Genomic DNA, 19,360 nt, shown 5'->3' on the forward strand with positions numbered 1-19,360 from the left:
CGCCATTTGCCAGACAGCCTGTTAATCTGGCAGTCGACCCCTCTCCAGCAAAAACTAGGAATCCAGAAGTGCCGCCTGGGTCCGATCCTAGCCAGCATCCTGGGAATCTGTCACCAACTGTGGTCCTGTGGCAAATGTCAGGAAACCAAATAAAATTCAGGGAATGCCCTTTGGGGGCATCAACGCACAGCCCTTTCTCTGGACATCACTTTTACTCACAGCCCACAGGGAGCTTCTATAGAGGGTGGCCATGAGTGACCCTAGGACACTTACCACAGCTGCATGGCCTAAAGCAGCCTAAATCATGAAGGAGGAGGGAGAGGCCTGAGCAGAGAGGAGAAAAGAGCAAGCCCGGAACTTGGCAGCATTTCTCATTGTCCACAAACCAGGCCCTAAAGCAGCCATGTTTGTAGTGTGGCCCTGGCCCCCCTTGGTCATATCTGATTGGACCGTGGATGGACACCTGACTCGAGCTGGCCAATCAGAACCCGCAGGAATTGGGCCTCGGCACGTGGCCGAAGTGAGGACATGTAACACAGGCACTCACCGCTGGGATGCTGTGGACCTGGGGCACAGAGCAGGTGTAGAAGGAAAGGAGAGGGAAGAGATGGGAAGAGAGGGTCATGGTATTGGCGTCCATATTTCTGTACTGGTGCTTCATGAAAGCTGGTGGCATCTCTTGGCCTGGTTTCCCTGACACCTGATATCATAACGAATTCAGGACTCCAGCTCAGTGAGAGAGTTTCTGCTCCTTGCAACCAAAAGCATCTTCACTGGGAAGACTTGAGTGCCGCTTGCTCTGTGCTTTGCCCTGGTTCTGAACTCAGAACCTGACCTCAGGGATCGCTTCGCCACTCCGCTGCCTGTGTCCATGAGGGTTTCTCGCAAAAGAAGTTTTACCTTTAAAACTTATTTTCCTCTGATTATTAATGTCCGTGGTAATAATAAATGACTCAATATTAGCTTTGTGCCAAACACTTCGCTACACACTTTATTCACATTATCTCATTGAATCTTCAAAACCACACTTGGAGGTGGACACTTTCATCTCCATAATGTAGAGGTAGCAACGAAGCTGCAGATAAACTGACTTGCCAAAAGCCACTGAGCTAGCAAGTGACAGAACCAAGAACCAAACCCCGGCCTGGCTGAGTCCCCAAATCTTGTGCGTTTGTCTTGTTGTTGTTGTTAAGATGGAGTCTCGCTCTGTCACTCGGGCTGGAATGCAGTAGCGCAATCTCGGCTCACTGCAACTTCCGCCTCCCAGGTTCAAGCGATTCTCCTGCCTCAGCCTTCTGAGTAGCTGGGATTACAGACGCCCACCACCACGCCTGGTTAATTTTTGTATTTTTGGTAGAGACGGAGTTTCATCATGTTGGTCAGGCTGGTCTCGAACTCCTGATGTCAGGTGATTCACCCACCTCCGGCCTCCCAGAGTGCTGGGATTACAGGCGTGAGCCACTGCACCTGGCCATTATGTCTTTAACCATAGTGATAAGCTGCATCTTTAAGAAAAGAAATAACTAGCCAGGCACGGAGGCTCTCCCCTTTAATCCCAAAACTTTGGGAGGCCGAGGCGGGTGGATCACAAGGCTACGAGTTCAAGACCAGCCAGTTTGAGACCAGCCTGGCCTCGGCCTCCCAGAGTGCTGGGATTACAGGCAGGAGCCACGACGCCCAGCCACATTTGGTATATTATCAGTCATATGTCTTTTTCTTTTCTTTTTTTGTTTTTTGGCTAAACATCCTATAATGCACATATATTTTTTCCTATGCTTACAATATTTTTGCAGTTATTTAGGCTAAAGTATAAATGCTTTATATTTTATAGTTATAAATGTATACTTTATACTTTAAAGTATAAACTTTAGCCGGGCACGGTGGCTCATGCCTGTAATCCCAACACTTTGGGAGGCCGAGGCAGGCGGATCATGAGGTCAGGAGATTGAGACTGTCCTGGCTAACACGGTGAAACCCCGTCTCTACTAAAAATACAAAAAATTAGCCGGACACGGTGGTGGGCACCTGTAGTCCCAGCTACTCAGGAGGCTGAGGCAGGAGAATGGTGTAAACCTGGGAGGCAGAGCTTGCAGTGAGCCAAGATTGCGCCACTGCACTCCAGCCTGGGTGACAGAGCGAGACTCCGTCTCAAAAAATAATAATAATAAAGTATAAACTTTATATATTTATGCTTTAATGTATATACTTTGCACCCTATTTTTAAAATTTTAACATATCATAAATGCTTTCCTATAACATTTAAAAACTCAATCCTTAAGCCTGGGCGCAGAGGTTCATGCCTATAATCCCAGCACTTTGGGAGGCCGAGGTGGGTGGATCGCTTGAGTGCAGGAGTTTAAGACCAGCCTGACCAACATAGCGAGACCCCATCTCCATAAAATAAATAAATAAATAAATTTTTAAAACTCCTTAAACATTTTCAGCGATTACATAATATTTTGTTAACATTGATACTCCCTAACTTAACCTTTCCCCATTTATATATTTAGTTCTCTCCATATTCTAAATTATTTTTCTGCCTTTTGTTGAATTTATCTTTTATATTTTAAATAAATAGAGATGGAGTCTCACTATGTTGCCCAGGCTGGCCTCAAACTCCTGGGCTCAAGTGATTCACCTGCCTCAGCCTCCCAAAGTGCTGGGATTACAGGCATGAGCCACCATGCCCAGCCCTTTTGTTGAATTTAATGGAATGTTTTTAAGAATTGGTTATTAGCTATACTTAATTATTAGTTATGGCTTTTTTAGTGCCCTCTCTGAGAGTTATTTTATATATCTTTAACTTACCACAGTCTACCTTCAATTAATAGTATGCCACCTCGAGTGTAACATAAGAACTCTGCGACAGTACGAGCCTAGAACATTTCACTTTATGCTTTTGTTGTCATACATATGCTACAAAATCCCATAATACATTGCTATTATTTTTGCTTTAGACAGTCAAATATCACTTTTAAAAGATTAAAAATAAAAATAAAAAAAAGATTTTAAAAGATGAAAAATAATGGTGGGCCATGCCTATAATCCTAGCACTTTGGGAGGCCAAGGTAGGAGGATTGCTTAAGCCCAGGGATTCAAGACCAGCCTGGGCAACATAGGGAGACCCCATCTTTACAAAAAATTTTAAAATTAGCCAAGTGTGGTAGCACATGCTGGTGGTTCCAGCTACTCAGGAGACTGAGGTGGGAGGATCGCATGAGCCTGGGAGGTAGAGACTGCAGTGAGGTGTGATCACAGCACTGTACCCTAGGCTGGGCAACATCTCAAGACTCTGTCTCAAAAAATAAAAATAAACAGCTGAGATTGCACCGCTGCACTCCAGCCTGGGTGACAGAATGAGACTCTGCCTCAAAAAATCATAATAATAATAAATAAAGATTAAAAATAAGAAAAGAGTTTATCTTATATTTATCCATATATTTCTTTTTCTGATGCCCTTCATTCCATTGAATAGACAAAGTTTCTATATATATCATTTTCCTTCTGTTGAAGAACTTTTAAAAGTATTTCTTCTAGTGCAGTGATTAATTCTTTCAGTTTTTTTTGTTTTTGTTTTTGTTTTTTGAGACAGAAGCTCACTCTGTTACCCAGGCTGGTGTGCAGTGGCGTGATTTCCGCTCACCCCAACCTCTGCCTCTTGGGTTCAAGCGATTCTCCTGCCTCGGCCTCCCGAGTAGCTGGGATTACAGGCCCCCACCACCACGCTGGCAAATTTTTGTGTTTTTTAGTAGAGATGGAGTTTCACCATTTGGCCAGGCTGGTATCAAACTCCTGACCTCAAACGACCCATCCACCTCAGCCTCCCAAAGTGCTGGGATTATAGGCATGAGCCACCCCACCAGGCCCAGCTTTTATTTCTTTGAAAAAATTTTATTAACATTTACAAGTAGGTCCTTGCTCCATTTCGAGTTCATTACTGTGTAGGTTGTGATTCAGGATCAAAGTTTATTTTTTGAAAATACTGATGTTTTGCTGTTCCAGCACCGTTTCTTAAAAAGTCTTTTTCCTATTATATTACCTTAGCATCTTTGTCAAAAATCAATTGATTAGGCCAGGCATGGTGGCTCACCCCTGTAATCCCAGCACTTTGGGAGGCCAACGTAGGCAGATCACCTGAGGTCAACAGTTGGAGACCAGCCTGGCCAACATGGTGAAACCCCATCTCTGCTGAAAATATAAAAATTAGCCGGCCATGGTGGCGCAAGCCTGTAGTCCCAGCTGCTTGGGAGGCTGAGGCATGAGAATCACTTGAACACGGAAGGCAGTGGTTGCAGTGAGCCAAGATCGCACCACTGCACTCCACCCTGGGCAACAGAGCGAGACTCCGTCTCAAGAAAACAACAACAACAACAATCAGTTGATGGGTATGGGTCTACTTCTGGACTCTCAATTCTGCTTCATTAATGTATGTGTCTAGCCTTACGCCAAAAACTCTCTGACTTGCTTATTATAGCCTATAGTAAATCTTTTTTTTTTTTCTGATTTATTTATTTATTTATTTATTTATTGATCATTCTTGGGTGTTTCTCGCAGAGGGGGATTTGGCAGGGTCACAGGACAATAGTGGAGGGAAGGTCAGCAGATAAACAAGTGAACAAAGGTCTCTGGTTTTCCTAGGCAGAGGACCCTGCGGCCTTCCGCAGTGTTTGTGTCCCTGGGTACTTGAGATTAGGGAGTGGTGATGACTCTTAACGAGCATGCTGCCTTCAAGCGTCTGTTTAACAAAGCACATCTTGCACCGCCCTTAATCCATTTAACCCTAAGTGGACACAGCACATGTTTCAGAGAGCACAGGGTTGGGGGTAAGGTCACCGATCAACAGGATCCCAAGGCAGAAGAATTTTTCTTAGTACAGAACAAAATGAAAAGTCTCCCATGTCTACCTCTTTCTACACAGACACGGCAACCATCCGATTTCTCAATCTTTTCCCCACGTTTCCCCCCTTTCTATTCCACAAAATTGCCATTGTCATCATGGCCCGTTCTCAATGAGCTGTTGGGTACACCTCCCAGACGGGGTCGTGGCCGGGCAGAGGGGCTCCTCACTTCCCAGTAGGGGCGGCCGGGCAGAGGCGCCCCTCACCTCCCGGATGGGGCGGCTGGCCGGGCGGGGGGCTGACCCCCCCCCACCTCCCTCCCGGACGGGGCGGCTGGCCAGGCGGGGGGCTGACCCCCCCACCTCCCTCCCGGATGGGGTGGCTGCCGGGCGGAGACGCTCCTCACTTCCCAGACGGGGTGGCTGCCGGGCGGAGGGGCTCCTCACTTCTCAGACGGGGCGGCTGCTGGGCGGAGGGGCTCCTCACTTCTCAGACAGGGCGGTTGCCAGGCAGAGGGTCTCCTCACTTAGACGGGGCGGCCGGGCAGAGACGCTCCTCACTTCCTAGATGGGAAGGCGGCCGGGAAGAGGCGCTCCTCACTTCCTAGATGGGGTGGCGGCTGGGCAGAGACGCTCCTCACTTTCCAGACTGGGCAGCCAGGCAGAGGGGCTCCTCACATCCCAGACGATGGGCGGCCAGGCAGAGATGCTCCTCACTTCCCAGACGGGGTGGCGGCGGGGCAGAGGCTGCACTCTCGGCACTTTGGGAGGCCAAGGCAGGCTGCTGGGAGGTGGATGTTGTAGCGAGCCGAGATCACGCCACTGCACTCCAGCCTGGGCACCATTGAGCACTGAGTGAAGGAGACTCCGTCTGCAATCCCAGCACCTCGGGAGGCCGAGGCTGGCGGATCACTCGCGGTTAGGAGCTGGAGACCAGCCCGGCCAACACAGCGAAACCCCGTCTCCACCAAAAAAATACGAAAACCAGTCAGGCGTGGCGGCGCGCGCCTGCAATTGCAGGCACTAGGCAGGCTGAGGCAGGAGAATCAGGCAGGGAGGTTGCAGTGAGCCGAGATGGCAGCAGTACAGTCCAGCTTCGGCTCGGCATCAGAGGGAGACCGTGGAAAGAGGGGAGAGGGAGAGGGACAGGGAGAGGGACAGGGAGAGGGAGAGGGAGAGGGAGAGGGAAAAAAAAAAGCGCCTATAGTAAATCTTAAACCTCATTCTTTTAAGACTGTTTTGGCTATTCTGAGTCCTTTACTTTTCCATATACTTTTTTTTTTTTTTTTTGAGACAGTCTCCATCTGTCACCCAGGCTGGAGTGCAGCAGTGGTGCCGTCTTGCCTCACTGCAGCCTCCGCCTTTTGGGTTCAACCAATTCTCCGGCCTCAGCCACCTGAGTAGCTGGGATTACAGGTGTGCACCACCATATCCAGCTAATTTTTGTATTTTTAATAGAGACGGGGTTTCACCACGTTGGCCAGGCTGGTCTCGAACTCCTGACCTCAAGTGATCCACTCACCTCGGCCTCCCAAAGTGCTGGGATTACAGGCGTGAGCCACCTGCCCAGCCCATATATGTGTGTGTGTGTGTGTGTGTGTGTGTGTGTGTATATATATATATATATATATATATATACACTTTTTTTTTTTTTGAGATGGAGTCTCACTCTTGTCGCCCAGACTGGAGTGCAGTGGTGCGATCTCAGCTCACTGCAACCTCCACCTTCTGGCTTCAAGCGATTCTCCTGCCTCAGCCTCCTGAGTAGCTGGGATTACAGGTGACCCCCACCACGCCCGGCTAATTTTTGTACTTTTAGTAGAGATGGGGTTTTGCCATGTTGGGCAGGCTGGTCTTGAACTCCTGACCTCAGCCTCCACCACCTCCCAAAGTGCTGGGATTATAGGCGTGAGACACTGTGCGTGGCCCCATATAAATTTTTTAAACAAATTATTCACTTCTTCAAAAAGTCTGCTAAGATTTCATTGGAATTGCATTAAAACAACAGATTCATTTGAAGAGCATTGTCATCTGAGTTACTCCATTACTATTGCTATAAAGGAATGCCTGAGACTATTTATAAAGAAAAGGGGTTTATTTTGGTTTATGCAGGCTCTACAGGAAGCATAGTGCTGGGATCTGCTCCTGGTGAGACCTCAGGAGGCTTCCAATCATCACTCCTGGAAGCTTCCAATTATGGTAGAAGGTGAAGGGGGATACAGAAGGTTTTATCAGATGGCAAGAGAGAGAGCAAGAGAGAGAGGGAGAGGTTCCAGGCTCCTTTTTAAACAACAAGATCCCAGGCGCAGTGGCTCACACCTGTAAACCCAGCACTTTGGGAGGCCAAGGTGCTTGAGGTCAGGAGTTAGAGACCAGCCTGGCAACATGACGAAGCCCCGTCTCTACTAAAAATACAAAAATTAGCCGGGTGTGGTGGCGCACAACTGTAATTCCAGCTACTCCAGAGGCTGAGGCACGAGAATCGCTTGAACCCGGGAGGCAGAGGTTGCAGTGAGTTGAGATCGCACCATTGCACTCCAGCCTGGGCAAAAGAGCAAGATTCTGTCTCAAAAAAATTAAAAATAAACAACCAGATCTTGTGTGAACTCATTATTGTGGTTAATTTTTTTGCATATGTATATATCTCTCTCTCTCAAAATTGGGAGTTGAATTTTGTCAAATGTTTCTCAACATCCTTTGAGATGTTTTCTCCTGTATTCTGTTAATATAATGAATTACATTAATTGATTTTTGAATGTTAAACCAATTTTACATTCACAGGAAAAATACCATTTGGTATTGCTGGATTTAGTTTGCTAAAATTTTGTCAGAGATTTTTTGTGTCTATATTCATGTGGGATGTGGATCTGTAGTTCTCTTGTGGTTCTTTGGTTTTTGTGTCAGGGAGAGAGTGGCCCCCCAAAAAATACATTCAGAAATGTCTCTCCACCTCCTGTTTTCTAAAACAGCTTTTTTGTAGGATTGGTAATATTCTTTCATAAACGTTTCATAGAATTCACCAGTGGAAGGCCAGCCATGGTGACTCATGTCTGTAATCCCAGCACTTTGGGAGGCTGAGGTGGGAGGATTGCTTGAGCCCAGGAGTTCAAGACAATCCTGGGCAACATAGCAAGACCCCTATCTCTGCAAGGGAACAAAAAGAAAAAGAAAAAAGAATTCACCAGTGAAGCCATCTGAGCCTGGAAATTTTTATGTGTGTGAGGCTTTTATTTTTTTATTTTTATTTATTTATTTCTTTTCTTGAGACGGAGTCTTGCTCTTGTCTCCCAGTCTGGAGTGCAATGGCATGATCTTGGCTCAGTGCAACCTCTGCCTCCTGGGTTCAAGTGATTCTCCTGCCTCAACCTGCCAAGTAGCTGGGATTACAGGCATCTGCCACCATGCCCAGCTAATTTTTTGTACTTTTAGTAGAGGTGGGGTTTCACCATGTTGGCCAGGCTGGTCTCAAACTCCTGGCCTCAGGTGATCCACCCACCACAGCCTCCCAAAGTGCCGGGATTACAGGCGTGAGCCACTGTGCCCAGCCTTAGGCTTTTAAAAAATAAATTTGGCCAGGTGCAGTGGCTCACGCCTGTAATTCCAACACTTTGGGAGGCCAAGGCGGGCAGATCACTTGAGTCCAGGTGCTCAAGACCAGCCTGGCCAACATGGCAAAACCCTATCTCCACTAAAAATACAAAAATTAGCCAAGTGTGGTGGTGCACGCCTGCAATCTCAGCTACTTGGGAGACTGAGGTTGCAGCAAGTTGAGATTCTGCCAGTGCAGACTCTGTCTCAAATAAAATAAAATAAAATAAAATATTCAGTTTCTTTGATTTATGTAAGGCTATTTAAGTTGTCTATTTCCTCTTGGATCAACTTTGGTAATTTGTATCTTTTGAGGGATTTAACCATTTCATCTAGGTTTTCAATTTTATTAGCAGAAAGTTTTTTTATAATTTTCCTGACCTCAAGTGATCCACCTGCCTAGGCCTCCCAAAGTGTTGAGATTACAGGCATGAACCACCATGCCTGGCCCTGGCCCTTTCTAGGTTTTCTGCTTAATGATTCTTATATTCAGTGAAGTCTGTCTACTCTGGCTGGGGGAAACTCAAAATAATTCTCAGTCCTGTATGAGATTCTTAGTAATTTTTTTTCCCTCAAAAGCTGCTCTTGGCTGGGCACGGTGGCTCACACCTGTAATCCCAGCACTTTGGGAGGCTGAGGCGGGCAGATCACGAGGTCAGGAGTTTGAGACCAGGCTGGCCAACATGATGTAACCCCGTCTCCACTAAAAATACAAAAATTAGCCAGGCATGGTGGTGCGTTCCTATAATTCCAGCTTCTTGGGAAGCTGATGCAGAAGAGTTGCTTGAACCTGGGAGGTGGAGGTTGCAGTGAGCCAAGATCGTGCCACTGCACTCCAGCCTGGGCGACAGAGCAAGACTCCATCTCGGGGGAAAAAAAAAGTTGCTCTTGTCTGGTCTCATGGGGTTTTTCTCTATACATGAGGAGATTGGCATCCACCAAAGACTCAAATGGACACTTCACAGATTGCTGGAGGCCTTTCTCCTGTAGTGCCCTCCGTGCTGGTTGTGAGTCCCACAGATTTCAGCTGTGTTGGCTTCCCCAAACCCCATCTGTCTTCTCAGCTTGGCATGATCACCGGACTCTGTCTCCTCCCTATTTTGCAGTTTTGGAATTACCTCCAAGCAGAAAGCTAGGTGATGATAGGGCTTGCCCTGTTAGTTTCCCTTTTCTCAGGAATCACAGCCCTGTACTACCTGTTGTTGAATGTCTGAAAATAGTTGTTCCTTGTGTTTTGTACAATTATCTGTTGTTTACAGTGGGAGTATAATTCTGGACTGCCTCAGTCCTTTGTGGACAGAAATGAAAGTGGATTTTTTTTTTTTCTGAGACAGAGTCTTGCTCTGTTACTCAGGCTAGAGTGCACTGTGATCGCAGCTCACTGAAACCTCAAAATCCAGGGCTCAAGTCATCCCCCCACCTCAGCCTCCTAAGTAGCTGGGACTGCAGGCATGCACCATTACACCCAGCTACGTTTTGTATTTTTCATAGAGACATGAAAAACGGCTCACTGCAACCTCCATCTCCCAGGTTCAAGCAATTCTTGTGCCTCAGCCACCTGAGTAGCTGGGATTACAAGCACACACCACCATGCCCGGCTAATTTTTGTATTTTTAGCAGAGACAGGTTTTGCCATATTGCCCAGATGGCCTCAAACTCCTGGCCTCAAGTGATCCACCTGCCATGTTGCCCAGGCTGGTCTTAAACTCCTGTGCTCAAGCGATCCCCACATCTTGGCCTCTCAAAGTGCTGGGATTACAGGCGTGAGCCACTGCACCTGGCCTAATGTTTTTCAATATAACAATAATATAATCTAAATGCCTATAGGCCAGCCTGGCCTGAGATCACACTTAATATCTTGCTAACATGAATCATGTAGTTTCTCATCCTAACTGACATTCCACCCCTCACTGGCTCCCATCTCACTCAACATAAAACCCAAAGTGCTTACTACAGCCAGCACCAACTACCAGCCATGAAAGTGAGACTACACGGGAACTGCCCTCCGCAGACAAGCCTGACAGCAGCTGCCTGAATCATCCCACATGAGACTAGCAAAAGAACTGCCTAGGCAGCTCACCTATAGGCTCGTGAGAAAGAATAAATAAGTTTTATTTTGATTATTATTATTTTGTTTTTATTTCAATAGTTTTTGGGGTACAGGATTATTGCTTACATGGATAAGTTCTTTAGCGGTGATTTATGAGATTTGAGTGTACCATTACCTGAACAGTGTACATTGCATCCAATGTAGACACTAAGTTTTCTGGTTGTTTATGATGCAGCAACACAGATAATTGATGCATTTATTATGGCCTACCAGCACTTTCATGATCTGGCCCCCACCTACTGTCCGTCCTCTCCTCCCTCCTGCTCCCTCTCACCTCTGCCCACTGTCTTCAAACAATCCAAGCTCCGCCTGGAACATCTTCCACCAAATAGCCACAAGACTCACTCATTACAGCCCAAATATGGCACTGACTATACCTTTATCCTGCCTCCCTCTTCTCCACAGCACATACCACCACCAAACATATGCACTGGTTTGCTTTGTGTATCTAGTAATTTTTTTATTGAATGCTGGACATTGTTGAGTATCTCTCCCACTAGATAGGAAGCTCCATGTGGGCAGAGACCATGTCTGCCTTATTTGCAGCTGTGTACCAGATGCTAAAACCACGCCTGGTCCATAACAGGTATTCAATTAATATTTGTTGAATGAGTTGAATATTCATCCTCGAGTGGGCTCAGAACCCCACTTGAGGAGCGTCAGGAATACATACTTCCTCCCCTGCTCCAGGAGCCCATAAAATGGTGCCTAGGTATTCAGAAGCTATTCCAATCCAGTCCTCATGCCACAGCCCAGGGCCTGCCCTCATTCACTTCTTTGTCCCTCCTGTCACTCCTCTCCAGTCACTGCCTACACTCTTGACATGCTGTTGCCCCTGCTGTCAACACAAATGACCCCAGCTCCACTGAGAAGTGGGTAGGAAACCACCACCTCAGGGAAGCTATGGTAGGTTTGCTTGGACACGGAGATGTTAGAACTCTTAGCTCTTCATGTATGCAGCCCCTCTCCACCTGGGCATGCCAGTGTAGCCAAATGATCTTGATTGGTGATAGTTTCAACAAACAGCCTCCAGCTGTCACCAGAACCACTTGTCCTCCAGCTCTCATATCCTATTGCGGGGATTAGCTTATTAGGACTGACTCTGCCTTCTCTCAGAGTAAATTCTGTCTTTGGTAGACCCTCGATCCTCCTACCCCCTGGCTATAAGGCTTCCACGGAGTTGCCCCCAGACTGCCACTGAAGACTGGGTATGTCTGAACCCAGGTCACTCCCAACATTGAAAATCTTTTCTAGGAATGTCCTTAGTCCTCAAGTCAATCTAGAAACACAGATCAATACTAGGGTGTAAATAGGATTGTTGCTATCTCACAACCATAGTTTAGTGGTTGTTTATGATGCAACAACTTACCCATGTAAGCAATAATCCTGCACCCCAAAAACTATGGAAATAAAAATAAAATAATAATTAAAATAAAACCTTATTTAGTCTTTCTCAGAGTGTCCAAATAGAATAATATTGAAAAATTAAAGACTCAGAAAAATAATTACATTTTTTGTTTTGTTTTGTTTTTTGAAACAGAATCTCACTCTGTTGCCCAGGCTGGAGTGCAGTGGCATTATCCTGGCTCACTGCAACCTCCACCTCCCGGTTTCAAGCAATTGTTGTGCCTCAGCCACCTGAGTAGTTGGGATTACAAGCGCACACCAACATGCCCGGCTAATTTTTGTATTTTTAGCAGAGACAGGTTTTGCCATATTGCCCAGGATGGTCTCAAACTCCTGGCCTCAAATGATCCACCAGCCTCAGCCTCCCAAAGTGCTGGGATTACAGGTGTGAGCCACCATGCCTGGCCCAGAAAAAATTTTTTATTTCTGATTCCAACATCTTTATCAAAATGTTTTGGTTAATATTCAGATGCATTTCCTGCCAGTCATTCTTTCATATGCACATTCGTTTACAGGCATGTCAGGTAGTCTGTTTACATTGTGTACCTGTGCATTTGGTTTTTTGTTTTTCGGGTTTTTTTTTTTTTGAGACAGAGTCTTGCTCTGTCACCCAGGCTGGGGTGCAGCAGCGCGATCTCGGCTCACTGCAACCTCCACCTCCCAGGTTCAAGCGATTCTCCCGCCTCAGCCTCCCATGTAGCAGGGATTACAGGCACATGCCACCACACCTGGCTAATTTTTGTATTTTTAGTAGAGACGGGGTTTCACCATGTTGGTCAGGCTGGTCTCAAACTGCTGGCCTCGTGATCCACCTGCCTCAGCCTCCCAAAGTGCTGGGATTACAGGTGTGAGCCACCACGCCTGGCCTCTGCGCATTTGTTTCATTTAACATAATAAAAGAATTAATTTTCCACATTGTTGATAGGCTCCAGAACCAACTTGAATTGTACACTTAAAATTGGCCTATTTTGTATGATGTGTAAGTTACACATCAATAAAGCTGTTAAAAGCAAGGCTCAATGGCTCACTTCTGCAGTCCCAGCGCTTTGCAAGGTAGAGGCGGCAGGATCACTTGAGACCAGGAGTTTAAGACCAGCCTGGGCAACATAGTGCACACTCATCTCTGCCAAAAAAAAAAAGAAAGCCAGGTATGGTGACTCACGCCTGTAATCCCAGCAGTTTGGGAGGCCAAGGCAGGCGGATCACTTGAGGTCAGGAGTTCAAGACCAACCTAGCCAACATGGTGAAACCCTGTCTGTACTAAAAGTTACAAAAATTAGCCGGGTGTGGTGGCACGCACCTGTAATCCCAGCTACTTGGGAGGCTGAAGCAAAAGAATCACTTGAACCAGGGAGGCAGATGTTGCAGTGAGCCGAGGTCGTGCCACTATACTCCAGCCTGGGCAACAGAGGAAGACTCCATCTCAAAAAAAAGAAAAGAAAAGAAAAAAAAATTACCTGGATGTGGTGATGCACAACTGTAGTCCCTGTCGAGGAGGCTGAGATGGGAGGTTTGCTTGAGCCCAGGAGATTAAGGCTGTGGCGATCACACCACTGCCCCCCTGCCTTAGTGACAGACAAAGATCCCCTCTCAAATAAATAGATAAATAGATCTGTTAAAAATAAATATATGTATATTTTTGAGACAGGGTCTCACTCTATCACCCAGGCTGGAGTCCAGTGGTACCATCACAGCTCACTGAAGCCTCCTGCTCCCGGGCTCAAGTGATTCTCCCATCTCAGCCTCCTGAGTAGCGGGGACTACAGGTGTGTGTCACCATACCCAGCTAACTTTTTTTTTTTTTTTTAGTAGAGATGGGTTTTCATTATGTTGCCCAGGTTGGTCTCAAACTCCTGGGCTCAAGCAATCCCCCCACCTTGGCCTCCCAAAGTCCTGGGATTACAGGGGTGAGCCACCCTACCCAGCCAAAAACATAAATAAATAATTTTTTAATATAAGCGGGAGAAAGATGGCCAATGTTAAAGAAAGGCATTGAGAAGAGCTTGGGCTAGCAAAGTGCAGGGCTGGAGCAGAAGGGGGAGGAGAGGAGGCATCTGGGCAGAGTGGAGCCGAGGATCCTCAAGGCAACTGTGGGCAAGGCAGCTGGGATGAGGGGAGGGGCAGGATGCTGGACAGGCACTTTGGCCTTTAAGGAAGGTGACGTGGGGTGTAGAGTGAAAGGGGAGAGCCCCAGCTCAGGGACCAGACTTAGGTTACACATATTAAATCCTGGTTCCTTCCTCTTTCATGGTGAGAGCTTGGGCTAGGACTTTACCTCCTTGAACCTCAGTTTCTCCATCTGTAGGATAGGATCGTAATGGCCCTTCCTTCCAGGGCTATTGGAGGTTCCAGGAGGCCCACAGTGGGCCATCAGGAACGGGAGCCTGATCTCGGTCACTATTCCACAGGGCTTTCCACAGCATTAAGGAAGCTGGTCAAGACAAATAACTGCCTGACTGGCTGGGTGTGGTGGCTCACACCTGTAATCCCAGTACTTTGGGAGGCCGAGGTAGGCAGATCACCTGACGTCAGGAGTTTGAGACCACCCTGGCCAACATGGCGAAACCCTGTCTCTACTAAAAATACAAAAATTAGCCGGGCGTGGTGGCAGGTGCCTGTAATCCCAGCTACTCCGGAGGCTAAGGCAAGAGAATCACTTGAACTCAGGAGGCAGAGGTTGCCATGAGCCAAGATCATGCCACTGCACTCCAGCCTGGGCGACAGAGTGAGAATCTGTCTCTAAATAAATAAATAAATACTGCCTGATCTTGCCAGGCTCACACCTGTAATCCCAGTACTTTGGGAGGCCAAGGTGGGTGAATCGCTTAAGCCCAGGAGTCCAAGACCAGACTGGGCAACATAGTGAAACCCCGTGTCTTCCAAAAATACAAAATTAGCCAGCCGTGGGGGCACACACCTGTGGTCCCAGCTACTCAGGAGGCTGAGGCAGGAGGATCATTTGAGCCTGGGAGGTCCAGGCTGCAGTGAGCCATGATTGTGCCACTGCACTTTAGCCTAGGCAACAGAGTGAAACCCTGTCTCAAAAAATAAAAACATCTGGCCAGGCACAGTGGCTCACACCTGTAACCCCAGCATTTAGGGAGGCTGAGGCAGGTGGATCACCTGAGGTCAGGAGTTCGAGACCAGCCCGGCCAACATGGTGAAACCCCATCTCTAAAATTTGTAATGTTTGTAAAAATACAAAAATTAGCCAGGCGTGGTGGTGCATGCCTGTAATCCCAGCTACTTGGGAGGCTGAGGCAGAAGAATTCCTTGAACCCAGGAGGCGGAGGTTGCAGTGAGCCGAGATTGTGCTGCTGCACTCCAGCCTTGCAACAAGAGCGAGACTCCTCTAAATAAATAAATACATAAATACATAAATAAATACATAAATAAATAAATAAGCCAGGCGTGGTGGCTCACACCTGTAATCCCAGCACTTTGGGAGGCTGAGGCGGCCAGATCACGAGGTCAGGAGTTTGAGACCAGCCTGGCCAACATGGTGAAACCCCATCCCTACTAAAAATACAAAAATTAGCTGGGCGTGGTGGCACATGCGTGTAATCCCAGCTACTCAGGAGGATGAGGCAGGAGAATTGCTTGAACCCAGGAGGCAGAGGTTGCAGTGAGCCGAGATCCCGCCACTGCACTCTAGCCTGGGTGACAGAGCAAGACTCTGTCTCGGAAAATAAAATAAAATAAAATAAAAATAAAAATAAAAAAAGAAAAATTAAAAACCTGCCTTGACGTGTACACGGGGTTGACAGCTCAGAAGGCGCTGTCTCCTCCTCACTTATGCCGTTGGAGCCTTACAACCATCACAGAGAGGAGAGGAGGTGGAATGAGCAACCCATTTTTCAGGTGAGGCAGCACAGACCTGGGTTCGAATCATGGCTCTGTCACTTCCTAACCCATGACTCAGAGTGACTTCCTTAGCGTCTGACCGGCCTCCATGTCCTCGGCTATAAAACCAGGATAACATTAGTGCTCACCTTACTTGTGAATGTCAAGGGGAATACATGCCGTGTGTGGTTTTGTGCTAGAACCAGTATTCAGTCAGGTCTCAGTAAATACCCAGGGTTGGGGAGGGGAGGTGAGGAGGGAGCAGTTCCCGATAGCCAGAGTCGAGGTGAATTCAGATGCTGTTGGTACCCACCCTCTCCCCTCTGCCCCGAAGTTCACCAGTGGCTATAGTAGAAAGTTTCCAGCATGCTGACAGCGTCCTCCCTCTAGCCCCTCTTGTACTTATCATGTTTGTTATTTCCTGTATTTTATGATGCTTTCACATCCTAGGGCCTTGCTAATCCTGGAGAGACTGCTCCTCCCGAGGCTGGCTAATTCCTAGAGCTAGCAAACAACATGCCTGCAAACCTGCCTTTCATGTACAAACAAATACAGAGCCTATGTACCCAAGCATCTCCTTCCTCTAAACTCTCACACCCCAAGCCAGTTGTTCCCCTGCCCGAAATCAATCCAGGGCCATTTCCCAGACAACTAGAGGCCACCCCTACAGCCCAGAGCCTGCCAGAATTCTCAAACTAGCCATCCCAAACTCGCTGAAACGCACCTAGCCTCCCTTGCCCATTCCTTCCCGCAGGAACCACAGTGAAGGCTTTGGACTAGGCTCTGCCCTCACTCCTGCCACCACCTGACCCACCCTGGTGCCTCCCCATGGGGTGTGGGGTCCCTCCTCTAGAAACTGTGAGTAATCAATTCCTTCTGGGCAGTTGTCTCCTTGTCTGCCATCTTGCCATACCCGAAGAAAAGGAAGTCCTGGGCACACTTGAGAACACCTGCAGCTCACTTCTTTTCTGCCTGACACCTTTCCCCAGCACCCAAGAAATTTGCTCTGAGACACATGCAGCCCAGAAGTGCAAGGGAATTGTCTCCACCAAGGGAGGTGGGTGCAGAGGTCTGGATGCCCCATTTCCTGCCAAGGGCTTTCTTTGACAACAAGAAGTAGAGGTGGGCAGTGGTGGGAGCTGGGGTAAATGCCCAGCTCCCTGTCCTTCCAGCATGTTCCACACAATGCCAGGGAGGGCCCAGGCCGAGTGCTGTGCTTGAGATGGCAAAACCCCAACTCTACGGAAAACACACACACAAACTTGGATCAGGCCCCATCTGCTCATGGAGAACTCCCTATCCAACTCCAGCAGCTATCAACACTCCCAGAAAATCCAGTTTCCTACCCAAGTGGAAGAGTGAGGAGGTACTAACTCTGGAAGCTGAAAAAATGGCTTACATTTGTCCCCATTTATTCTCCTTAAGAAATATATTTATAGGCCGGGTGAGGTAGCTCACCCGTAATCCCAGCACTTTGGGAGGCCTAGGTGGGAGGATTGATTGAGACTAGCCTGGAAGACATGGCGAAACCCCATCTCTACAGAAAACACACACACACACACACACACACACACACACACACTAGCCTGGTGTGGTGATGCATGCCTGTGGTCTCAGCTACTCAGGAGGCTGAGGTAGGAGGATGGCTTGAGCCTAGGAGGTCGAAGCTGCCGTGAACCCAGATTGTGCCACTGCACCTCAGCCTGGGGGAAAGTGTGAGACCTTGTCTCAAAAAAAAAAAAAAAAAGAAATGCATTTATAATACCATTTTACTTTTTGTGTGTAATAGTCCTTTATCTAAATTTGTCTGATTAGAGGGAGCCACAGACGACCTAGGAGCTGCCAGCAGGCAGGGGTGCCTGGGAAGGAGGCCTAAAGCACAAGAGGACAAAGGGGGTGTTAAGATCCTGTCGCCTCCTGGCCCCAAAGCTTCCACTGTCCTCTCGAGTGCCAAGTGCTGGCATCAGGCCATCCCCAGTCCGAGACAGCCTCCTCTCTACTCCCCACAACCCAGCCAGGCATGTCCTCTTGAAGCTCAATGCAGACCCAGCCAGACGCGGCTTCCTTTCCATCTTCATACTTTTGCTGCCACTTCCTGAAACACCTCCTCCCCGTCTCCGATCTGGAAATCAAAGAGCCTGGGGAATACAGGCTCAGAGCCCAGGCCTCAGCCTGCTCCGAACCTCAGGATGCCAGCCCAAACCAGCCCACCTGGTGGGGCTGCTGTCAGCGCCACCTGGATCCAGAAGCTCCTGGCTGCATGGAGGAGGCCAGAGGGCCTTGGCTGCCTGGAGCCAGGAGCCACGGGCCGTAAGCCGGGTGCTGAGCTGATCTGCACGCCTCTCAGGCTGGGGAAAGGGCTCGTCTGGGGTCAGTGCAATCCATATCTCATCTGCAGCTCTCCTAGCGGAAGTGATGGCTATTGGAACATGGTAATGGGTGTTGTCTAGTGGAAGAGACTAATCTTCCCGGCTGTGGAGGGCTCTGCAGGTGGCCCACGCGCCAGCAGGCTCCGCTCAGCCGCTCACTGCTGTCACTGCCACCGCTGATGGGGCTATCGAGGCAGTTGTTTTTCTTTTTTTTTTAAGCCCACATCCGGTGACCTATCAAATTGAGGCAAGTTTAAAGCCAGAGCAGCCTGGTGTCACGCTGGTGTCCATCCCAGTCTTCCTGGCACCTTCCTGGCACAAAGCCTCAGAGCTGATCCCGACCCAGTCCTTCCGAGCACAGGTGGGGACACCAAGGCCAGTGACGCCCAAGCCCATGGACTCAACTGGAAGAGGGCCAGGATGAAACGCTAGTCTCCAGACTCCCCAGCCAGCATCACACAGAACACTGACTATGACTAACCCACGGCCAGGGGCCTAACTTGGCCCTTAGGTATGCCAGGGTTTCTATTGGTCGGCTCAATGCTTCTTGAAAAAACCAGAATTCAAATGCCATCGATACACTGGCTACAGTCCTCACCACTCCCTAATGTCTCACACTCAGCCAGCTTTACTCATTTTGTCATCTATCTGATCTTGGATCAGTAAAACTGAGGTCTCCACATAAGGGGGTGAGGAGAAAGGGAACCAGCCTCCTCCCCTGGAGAGTGGGACTCCAGATCTGGTCTCCTTGTCCCAGAGGCCACGGATCCTGGCAGACTGTGTGCCCTGCTGCCCACTGCTGTGAATGATGCTCATTACAAATTTCAGTAAATATTAACTGAGCAGCTGCTGTATGCCAGGCCCCAGGGACTCATCAGCCCAGCTAGCACAAAGTCCTTTATTTTTTATTTCATTTTGAGACAGGTTGTCAATCTGTCACTCAGGCTGGAGCACGTGGCACAATCATAGATCACTGCAGCTTCGAACTCCCAGACTCAAATGATCCTCCTGCCTCAGCCTCCCAAGTAGCCGGGACTACAGGTGTACACCACCATGCCCAGCTAGAAGCCTTTTATTTCAACGGCTTCATGTGCTGCTCCTTTACGGAGCCCTCCCAGCAGTTAGCAGTAAGCACTGACCCTCTCGTGGTGGAATTCCAAACACCTGTTACCCCAAGCAGCTTGGTGTCATGGGAAGTGACTGAAC

General features: G+C 48.2%; 4 annotated features.

Moving 5' to 3' along the window:
* Positions 277-571: an enhancer, noted in NCBI's record as "tiled region #5386; HepG2 Activating non-DNase unmatched - State 17:Gen3', and K562 Activating DNase matched - State 10:DNaseD". NCBI's record gives its function as "activates a minimal TATA promoter and a strong SV40 promoter by Sharpr-MPRA in HepG2 and K562 cells {active_cell/tissue: HepG2 | K562}" and the evidence as "EXISTENCE:reporter gene assay evidence [ECO:0000049][PMID:27701403]".
* Positions 3,761-4,260: an enhancer, noted in NCBI's record as "H3K27ac hESC enhancer chr9:133380533-133381032 (GRCh37/hg19 assembly coordinates)". NCBI's record gives its function as "activates a minimal SCP1, AML or CMV promoter by ChIP-STARR-seq in naive H9 embryonic stem cells {active_cell/tissue: H9 hESC(naive)}" and the evidence as "EXISTENCE:reporter gene assay evidence [ECO:0000049][PMID:30033119]".
* Positions 4,444-5,290: an enhancer, noted in NCBI's record as "NANOG-H3K27ac hESC enhancer chr9:133381216-133382062 (GRCh37/hg19 assembly coordinates)". NCBI's record gives its function as "activates a minimal SCP1, AML or CMV promoter by ChIP-STARR-seq in primed H9 embryonic stem cells {active_cell/tissue: H9 hESC(primed)}" and the evidence as "EXISTENCE:reporter gene assay evidence [ECO:0000049][PMID:30033119]".
* Positions 17,564-18,079: an enhancer, noted in NCBI's record as "H3K27ac-H3K4me1 hESC enhancer chr9:133394336-133394851 (GRCh37/hg19 assembly coordinates)". NCBI's record gives its function as "activates a minimal SCP1, AML or CMV promoter by ChIP-STARR-seq in naive H9 embryonic stem cells {active_cell/tissue: H9 hESC(naive)}" and the evidence as "EXISTENCE:reporter gene assay evidence [ECO:0000049][PMID:30033119]".

The sequence above is a fragment of the Homo sapiens genome, chromosome 9 (assembly GCF_000001405.40).
Source record: "Homo sapiens chromosome 9, GRCh38.p14 Primary Assembly".
Classification (NCBI taxonomy): Eukaryota; Metazoa; Chordata; class Mammalia; order Primates; family Hominidae; genus Homo; species Homo sapiens.